Source organism: Homo sapiens, chromosome 12 (genome assembly GCF_000001405.40).
Source record: "Homo sapiens chromosome 12, GRCh38.p14 Primary Assembly".
In the NCBI taxonomy this organism is placed as follows: domain Eukaryota; kingdom Metazoa; phylum Chordata; class Mammalia; order Primates; family Hominidae; genus Homo; species Homo sapiens.
Window position 1 is genome coordinate 10428735 of NC_000012.12, and position 8585 is coordinate 10437319.

Consider the following 8585-nt stretch of genomic DNA (forward strand, 5'->3'; position numbering starts at 1 on the left):
CCTAAAAATTAAATTACCATTGAATGCACTAAAATAAATTAAAAATAGAAAAGCTAAAATTAAATACAAGTGATGTATAAGAAAAAGATGAATAAACAGTAAAAAATCACGATAAAGAATAATGTTACAATAGAGAGAACAGCAAGGCCAAAGGTATTTTCATTGAAAATGCTTTTAAAACTTGATGAACGACTACTAAAAATATACACCTACTAACGTATCCACAAAAATAATAAATTTAACATTTTAAAAAATTGATAAGGGCCAGGCACAGTGATGCCTCCCAAAGTGCTGGGATTATAGGCTTGAGCCACCAGAACTGGCCTATTTCTAGATTAAACATGGCAATACCATTATGGTCTTTACAGTTATTTAGAGGCAATAAAACTATTTTTCATTACATTTTAATGTCTATATGAAATAGAAAATTCATACATACTCATTACCAAATGCAGTACCTCAAATAGAAATCTGAGTATATCCCACCATGTATTAAAGAAATTCAGTTTAGACATAAACTTTCCTAGAAAAATAGTCTACAAACTCAGATGGCATTACTAGTGAATTATAACATTTAAAAATAAAGCAGTACTCTCAACAAATGCTTCTAGGTTATAGAAAAAGAGAAATTCTTCCCAAGATAGCCTTGATATCAAAACCTTTCAAGTATATAGCTATGAATAAAAACATGGTCAAATATCCTTGTGAACATGGATGAAGAAACAAATCTTACCCTACATAAAATATATATGCGCTAATTTTTTTTTATTCATCTTTTTTGAGACAGAGTCTCCCTCTGTCGCCAGGTTGGAGTACAGTGGTGCCCTCTCGGCTCACTGCAACCTCCGACCCCTGGTTTAAAGTGATTCTCCTGCCTCAGCCTCTCGAGTAGCTGGGACTATAGGTGCGCACCACCACGCCCAGCTAATTTTTGTATTTTTAGCACAGATAGGGTTTCAGCACGTTGGCCAGGATGGTCTCGATCTCTTGACTTCATGATCCACCTGCCTCAGCCTCCCAAAGTGCTGGGATTACAGACGTGGGCCACCACACCCGGCCAGCACTGATATTTTATGAGGGAAATATACAATGATCATCATGGATCTATTTCAGAAACAAAGGCTGGTTTAACATTTGAAAAAATAAAAGTTTATAAAATGTTATATAAACAAAACATATATCATTCCAACGGATACAAATTAATAAAAATGTTACAATTGATAAAATCTATTAGAAAATAGTATTATAAAACTGCTTCGATATGAGAAAGATAGGATGCAAAAAACACCAAGCTTTTTAAATATGTATAACATGTTGAAGTATTTTTTGCCAAAACCAGAAAATGATGCATATGATCCACAAAGAACTTTGATTGTGCCTTCTATTCAACTATGGGTATAAAACCCTAGCCAGTGAAAATAAATGAAAATAAAACTAAGTTATAGCACATGGATTAAAAAAAATAAAAGTGTGATCATTTGCAGATAAAATTGCTCGTTATATAGAACACCCAGAAATAAATCAATAGTTGACATAATAGATTTAAATATATAAAATCAGTGGAATAAGTAGATATAAAATCAAAATGCAGACATCAGTTGTATTTCTATTTATAACAACAAAAATTACTAAAGGGAATTTTAGAATCAGGATGCCATTTACAAAAGCATAAATGTAAAATACCTACATTTCTGTATGACTTCAATCCCCCAAAATACAAAATACAAGAGAGAGAAATTAAAGATAACACAGTACATTGAAGGAAACACTTTATACTGATTAGAAAAGTCAATATTATAAAGAAGCTAATCTTTAAAAATTACTTTAGAGAATAAATGCAGTCATAAACAATCCCATCAGAGGCTTTTTTTTTTCTGGATAGCTTTATTGAAGTGTCATGTACAAAGCATACATTTCATGCACTTAAAATGATTAAAAATCAATGATGTTTAGTATATTCGCAGAGTTACAACCATCACCACTACTGAAATTTAGAAAGTTTTCATCACGACACAAAGAAACGTTCTATCAATTAGTGGTCATCTCCTATTTCAACCTCCCTGAGACATTGGCAACCACTATTCTACTTTCTGTCTCCATGGGTTTGACTGTTCTTGGTACTTCCTATAAGCTGACTCACATAACATGCAACTTTTAGAAAGGCTGAAAACCACAAATACCATGTTGAGCAAAATGAGCCCGACACAAATGCTAGGATGTCTGTACTTTAGTAATTGTGTGCATCCTATTTCAATAATTGATTTAGAATTTTTGTATCAGAGCAAATAACATAATTCATTTTCAGATTTATGCAATCATAATATTTCTATTTTAAGAAATATAAAATGTATCTGATGCACTGCAAACGCAAATGCTTTACTTCTAAAGCTTATGCTTACAATGATATATCATTGAAGATCCACACTGGGCTGATTTAAGTCGATTTACTTGTAGCACTGCACAGTTAAGTTCAGCATTATCTGAGTCTTTTATCCTGTAATGGAGAAAAATCCATTTTCTGTTACATTTTAAGCAAATGATTCATGAGACGAAAGCATTTTCCATGTACTGTAAGAAAAGAATTTCATGGAAAAGGGTAATTAAATTTTTCATAATATTAGTAAGAGTCATTATTCTGAACACTCAACAGAGTAGTCCCTCTTCATCCACGAGGGATATGTTTCAAGACCCCAGTGGATGCCTGAAATGGCAGATAGTGCAGAACCTATAGAGAGATTATGTTTTCTCTACACATTCATAACTGTGATAAAGTTTAATTTATAAATTAGGCACAATAAGAGATTGACAACAATAACTAATAATAAAAAAATTATAGCAATATGCCAACAGCACTATTATTGTGCTTTGAGGATATTCTTAAGTAAAAAAGTAAGCGTGGCTTTTTAATAAAAACAAGCACTGCAGTTCCCTGATAGTCCAGCTCGAGGTTGTCCAACTCGCTGCCCATGGGCCGCACGTGACCCAGGACAGCTTTGAATGCGGCCCAACACAAATACGTAAACTTTCTTAAAACATTCTGTGATTTTTTTTTTTTTTTTAGCTCGTCAGCTATCGTTAGTGTTAGTGTATTCTATGTGTGGCCCAAGACTATTCGTCTTCTAACGTGGCCCACAGAAGCCAAAGATGGGACACCCCTGGTCCATCTGATAACCAAGAAGGTTACTAGCAGACCAATGAGCGGTTGAAATATATGGACTACTATGGTCTATTGTAAAATATTTATATCAACATTTCACTAACTTTCCACATCTTTCTTCATGTCAATGATTCCACATAAATTTATTCATATTATTCTTCTGAATTTATCCTTTATATATATTTTTTATATAGCGCCATACAAAAGAACTTACTTATGTTTGAAAGCCAAACCATTTATTGTCACCCATGGATGATGACTGCTGTTACGAAACACACCAATCCATGAGGAAGGTAAAATGCTGGCCAGAAATTTCTAAAAGAAAAGAAATAATTTTCACTTAAATAATAATTATGAAAACATTACAAAAACAATATATTAAAGTTGAAAACCACTATTTGCAGTGCCAAAAACTTTCATAAATGTTTGAATTTTTTATTTAAATGAACTCTTCAACGTTTATACTTAGTACTTTCATTCTTATTCTCATGTTAATAAAGACATTTTAATTCTTGCAATGTAATAGTTACTCCAATTAACAGAATAAACGCAGGAAGGGTTTTAATAAGTTTCCTGATACTGTGCATTCATTCCTCCAGATACTGTGACTAAATCAATCTATTTTTGTGCTATATTTCTCAGAGTTGGAGATTTAGAAGGGAATTGAGGGGTTGTCATTCAGAAATAGATGACATGGAAGCTACAGATTGGGTTTTCTGGGTACCACACCATTCTTTAACTAGATAAGCCCTCAATTTTTATCCGATTCGGTTTTTGCGGAATAACAGGGGTCCTGGCCAGGTGGTGTAGACTCGTCTCTCTCTGCTACTCCCGACTAAAAACAACTATAAACTCTGGGATTAATGAAAGACAAAAGCAATGGAGAACTCTGAAAGGTGGAAAGAGAAAGATGAAATTGTCTGGGACCCTAGCATCAGGGATCAACCAAGTGTCCGAGTGAGCATGTTAAGTCCTCCACACGACAGAAGAAGGTGACCTAGGCCTGCTGTTTCCCTACACCCAACCTGGCAATAGGAGGAGGGTATCGAAGGAGAGTCCCCTCCACAATACCAGGCAAGGCTGGTGCCACTGGCAAGGATGATCTACCAGGAGACCTGCTACCAATATGGAGCTAGAGAAAGTGCTTCCTTCTCATACCAAGAGACACCAGGATGGCTGTGGATGAGGAGGATCAGCAAAGGGACCCCATGACTAACAGTGCACCGTAAACCACCTAGGGTCCTCTTTGTCCCTGAGGGCATGAGACCCACTTCCCCATCCAGAGACAAGGACTCAATGGATTCTTACTGTTCTTTGTACATAGTACAGCAGTGAACAGTAACATACTACTGATAACTGCAATAATATGGAGGAATTGCACAAATATCAGATAGGATTGAAAAAGACATGAAATTCACACTGCTTGATTCCCTTTATATAAATAAATTCAAGAACAGGCAATCATTATTTATAATATTAAAAGTCAAGACTGCGTTTTGGAGAGGAGTCAGGATAAGTGATGAGGGCATACACAGGGGTGGAACTGCTAGAGCTGGAAACTTTTATTTCATGATCTGACTTGTATCACATGCATTCATTCACTTTGTGATCAATCTGCATGACCAGATGATATCATGCCCGATAAAATTAGATAGCAAAATTTATTGTGGATTCAAAGCACTTATAGAAGCATGGTTTTCCTTGAAAAACAAAAACTGAAAATAAATGTACATTAGCAGTATATAACTTTAAAAACATTATTAAGTCAATCAATTGAATATTACATACACTTGAAAATATATGAGATAAATATATGTACACACATATGGATGTTTTCTACAAATGTATTATTCACTGAAGGAAGCTTTTCATAAAATGTTTGAAACATTTACATCTTACCATTTCTTCTTCATTATCTATAGAAAGCAGACTGGAGTTCTTCGAAGTACAGGCCAGCAAACTCTCTTCCCAAGTTCTTCTTTCCTTACCAATGTAATAACAACTGTTGGAATATGTAATCCACTCCTCAGGACAATGGCCACAATGACGTGCTAATAAAGATATGAATTACTATCTAGACCAATATGAATTTTTAAAAATGAAAATTAGTTCACATATTTCAACAGTATAAACATATATGTGCTTAACATATTTACGCATCCTTACAGGCTTATAAATGTATATTTTTAATAACTGAGTCAGTCATACACACATGCACAGACAAGGGTTAGCCTCTCCTCCCTAATTGTGTTCCCATATAAAGCAAATGAACAAACAAAAATACACTCTACACATGTGTTGAACATCGCTGATACACAACTGCTTTTTTAGAATAGTAAAATTATTTATTTGGTATCATCTCACAGCAGTAGGAAACCTCTGTTAATTGGGAGAAAGAGGGTAGAATGATTTTAAGTGAGTATTTCTACTCACTGGAGAAAAGGAAATGCTGCCTCATAATCTTTCTTTATAAATATTTATGGCTGAATTTATGGCTTATTTTCTGCAAAAATGCCACTATTCTTTTACATGCCTTAAAACAGACACAAAATATAAATTGTACTAATATCAGAACATTGAAAATAAAAATGTACCTTTCTGCGTTCTTGTATTCGGGGAAAAATTGTTCTGCTCCAGGACTGTAATAGAAAAATTAAAATGATTTTTATAAAAACTGATATCTAGATAAACCATAACGAGTTTAGTTTCTTACTTTGAAACTTTGTGTGTTATTTAAAATGGGGAGAATCTTTAATAAAATTAACTTTTTCTATAAAAATATATAAAGTAATAGACCTTTGAAATAAACATTTTTAAAGACTTTAGCACAAACTTCACCATCTCTTGTAGTATTTGATGTAACCACTTTCAAAAATTAATTTGTTTTTCTAAATACTTTTCTTCTATAGCATGCCTTTGAATTATGAAATCAGAAAATATCTTTGTGTGTGTATGTATATACATATATATAGATTACACACAAAAAATAAACACATGTTCTCTACAATGATTTTGTTATTTATGTTGTGAAAAATTCAGAATAACCATATTACTTTTGGTTCCAAATTGTACTAATATCAGAACTTTGAAAATAAAAATGTACTTTTCTGGGTTCTTGTATTTGGGGAAGAATTGTTCTGCTCCAGGACTGTAACAGAAAAATTAAAATGATTTTTATAAAAAGTAATATTTAGATAAACCATAATGAGTTTAGTTTCTTACTTTGAAACTTTGTGTGTTATTTAAAATGGGGACAATCTTTAATAAAATTAACTTTTTCTATAAAAATAAATGAAGTAATAGATCTTTGAAAGAAACAGTAAAATAAGAGTTCTATTCTTCAACAGTATGAAATATTTTGAGGCACTTCCAAGCATTAAAGTAAAACGTTCCCTTCTAATCTTTCAAGAATATGCTTACAAGGAATAAGAACTATTGTTTTTAACACAGTGGCCATCAGGACAATGCAAATGATTCCTAGGACCTCGGCAGTGAGCTTCTCTGGAGGTGGCAGTAAACCTGCAGGGAGAGAAATAGAGGCACTGAGAGAGGGGAGATAGAGAGTTGATTAGGATTACATACTAGAGAATTACATACTAGAGAACCCACATGCACAGGGAAACATAATGATAAACTCTGGCCTCTAAATCTACATCTACTCTAGTAATCTTTCTCTCAGAATATACCATTTCATTTTCAGTAAATATAATGTTCCATGAGTGGACCGCAGATTACAGTTGAACAATGCCCGAATAAAATTAGTCTTCTGATTTCATATTAGAATTTTAGATCCCAATTATGAACTCCGATTCTCACAAGTGCAAAATATTCCCTAATCTTTCCTCACCCTTCTGCATTCAACTGCACATCCTAGAACAATAATATTGAAGATATATTTAATGTTTTACCTTGGCAGTCATATATTTTATCAATCCCTTGATGATTCAGGGAAGGATTTTGAAGATTTAATTCTACTTGGAATATTTCCTGTTCGGTTCCTGAAATGGAGCTTTTATTGCCTTTAGGTTTCCTTTGCTGCCGCTTTGGGTCCTGGGCCAGACTCACTTCTGAGAAGGTTCCTCTTTGTTTATTCATCTCTGCAGCTGTGTGATGTGAGGGACTGTGCTCTATGATAACTGCACTTAAGAAGCTATAAATGGTGTATATTTTGACAGGATCCCTGGTATAGGCAATGTGCATGTGTTGGGGCTGAGTAATAATGTTTACTTTGCTGTTAACCAATGTAAAATTCTGCTACTAATTTCCTAAAGCTTTAAACAAAAATCACACGATATAATTGGCAATTTTTTAGATGTATTCTGTATTTGACATAATATTACTAGTGGGAACAATAAAAACATTAAACTTATGAGAACTAGGAAGTTCATGAAAAATTGGTATTAAATTAAGGTTAGATTCTTCAAAAATGTTTAACACCAATAGACTGCATATGTCAACAATCAAAATACTGTATTTAGAAATACACAAATTTTATCATAGTTTTAAGAGTCATTGATGGTTAAGGATTGTGTGCCATAAGATAAAATAGTTCTGTCAGCATATAGAGTATCTTCTTATACTAAAATACATTGTTAGTGACTTACATTCATTTATTAAAAGGACCTGAGGTATTGTCAAATGATTTTTTTTCTAAATTAGGAAATCAGAAAAATCATTAAAATTTTAAAAATATATCTTGTAAAACATTACATTACTGTATGCATAAATATTATTGAAAACGTATTTTTAAATTGCTGCTTTTACACAAGAAATTGGTAATTGATTTAATGACTAAAATAGGAAAACTTAAAATGATAAATAAACGTGTGGGCCGTCTATGGAAGAATAGTGTCCAATCAAACTTTCAGAAAGCTCCTATGATTGTATAAGTCAGTGAGGGTTGCTTTGGTTGTATAAGTAATTGTAATAGTTCAGATAATGTAATTTAATAATCTAGTCAATGAGCTCTGTAGTCAGTGAGACTACAATTAATTCTAGCTTTGCAAGTTGTAATATGTGACCTGTACTAAATTACTTAGTGTCTACTAACCTAGTTTACTAATCTACATTGGGAAAAATAATTTATAAAGTATAATGTATGTAAAAAACTAAACACACAACCTGGCACATGTTACCACTGAATACATAATAGATATTTCAACTATTTTTAACACAATTGCCATTTTATTATTTCTGATTTGCATTAGAGTGTGTTAAAATAACTCATTAATTAGGCGTCTCATGTCAGTGTGGTACATCTTTTTTGCAATGTTTGGTTCAATTGTTTTAAGTCTTCCAATTGTTTATAATTAAGGTCAGATTTGCATTTTATGGAAATGATTTCATCCTTACTTTTATTAAAAATTAAAACTGCTTTCATGAAATCTAGGTGTGTGATTGAGAATTAATGTTTGACATTCACAATTTG

At 32.8% G+C, this 8585-nt stretch overlaps 1 protein-coding gene across 1 annotated transcript; it reads right to left on the bottom strand.

Annotated features, from left to right (window-relative positions):
- Nucleotides 1-1864: 1864 nt before the first annotated feature.
- On the bottom strand, nucleotides 1865-7276 carry KLRC2 (killer cell lectin like receptor C2). The gene is made up of 6 exons (NM_002260.4): nucleotides 7066-7276; nucleotides 6578-6676; nucleotides 5752-5796; nucleotides 5057-5208; nucleotides 3372-3472; nucleotides 1865-2494 (listed from the first exon to the last, which is right to left on the bottom strand). The coding sequence occupies exons 1-6, from the start codon at nucleotides 7250-7252 to the stop codon at nucleotides 2383-2385; spliced, it is 696 nt and encodes a 231-aa protein (NP_002251.2). The 5' UTR covers nucleotides 7253-7276; the 3' UTR covers nucleotides 1865-2382.
- Between the last annotated feature and the right edge of the window lie 1309 nt (nucleotides 7277-8585).

Bases quoted from the DNA above. Each gene is read 5' to 3' on its own strand.
- KLRC2 (NM_002260.4), bottom strand. From the start codon at position 7,252: ATGAATAAACAAAGAGGAACCTTCTCAGAAGTGAGTCTGGCCCAGGAC. The intron at 5,797-6,577 runs GTAAGCATATTC...TTTCTATTACAG, and splicing joins AACAATAGTTCTTATTCCTT to TCCTGGAGCAGAACAATTTT. The intron at 3,473-5,056 runs GTAAGATGTAAA...CTTTTCTTTTAG, and splicing joins TAGATAATGAAGAAGAAATG to AAATTTCTGGCCAGCATTTT.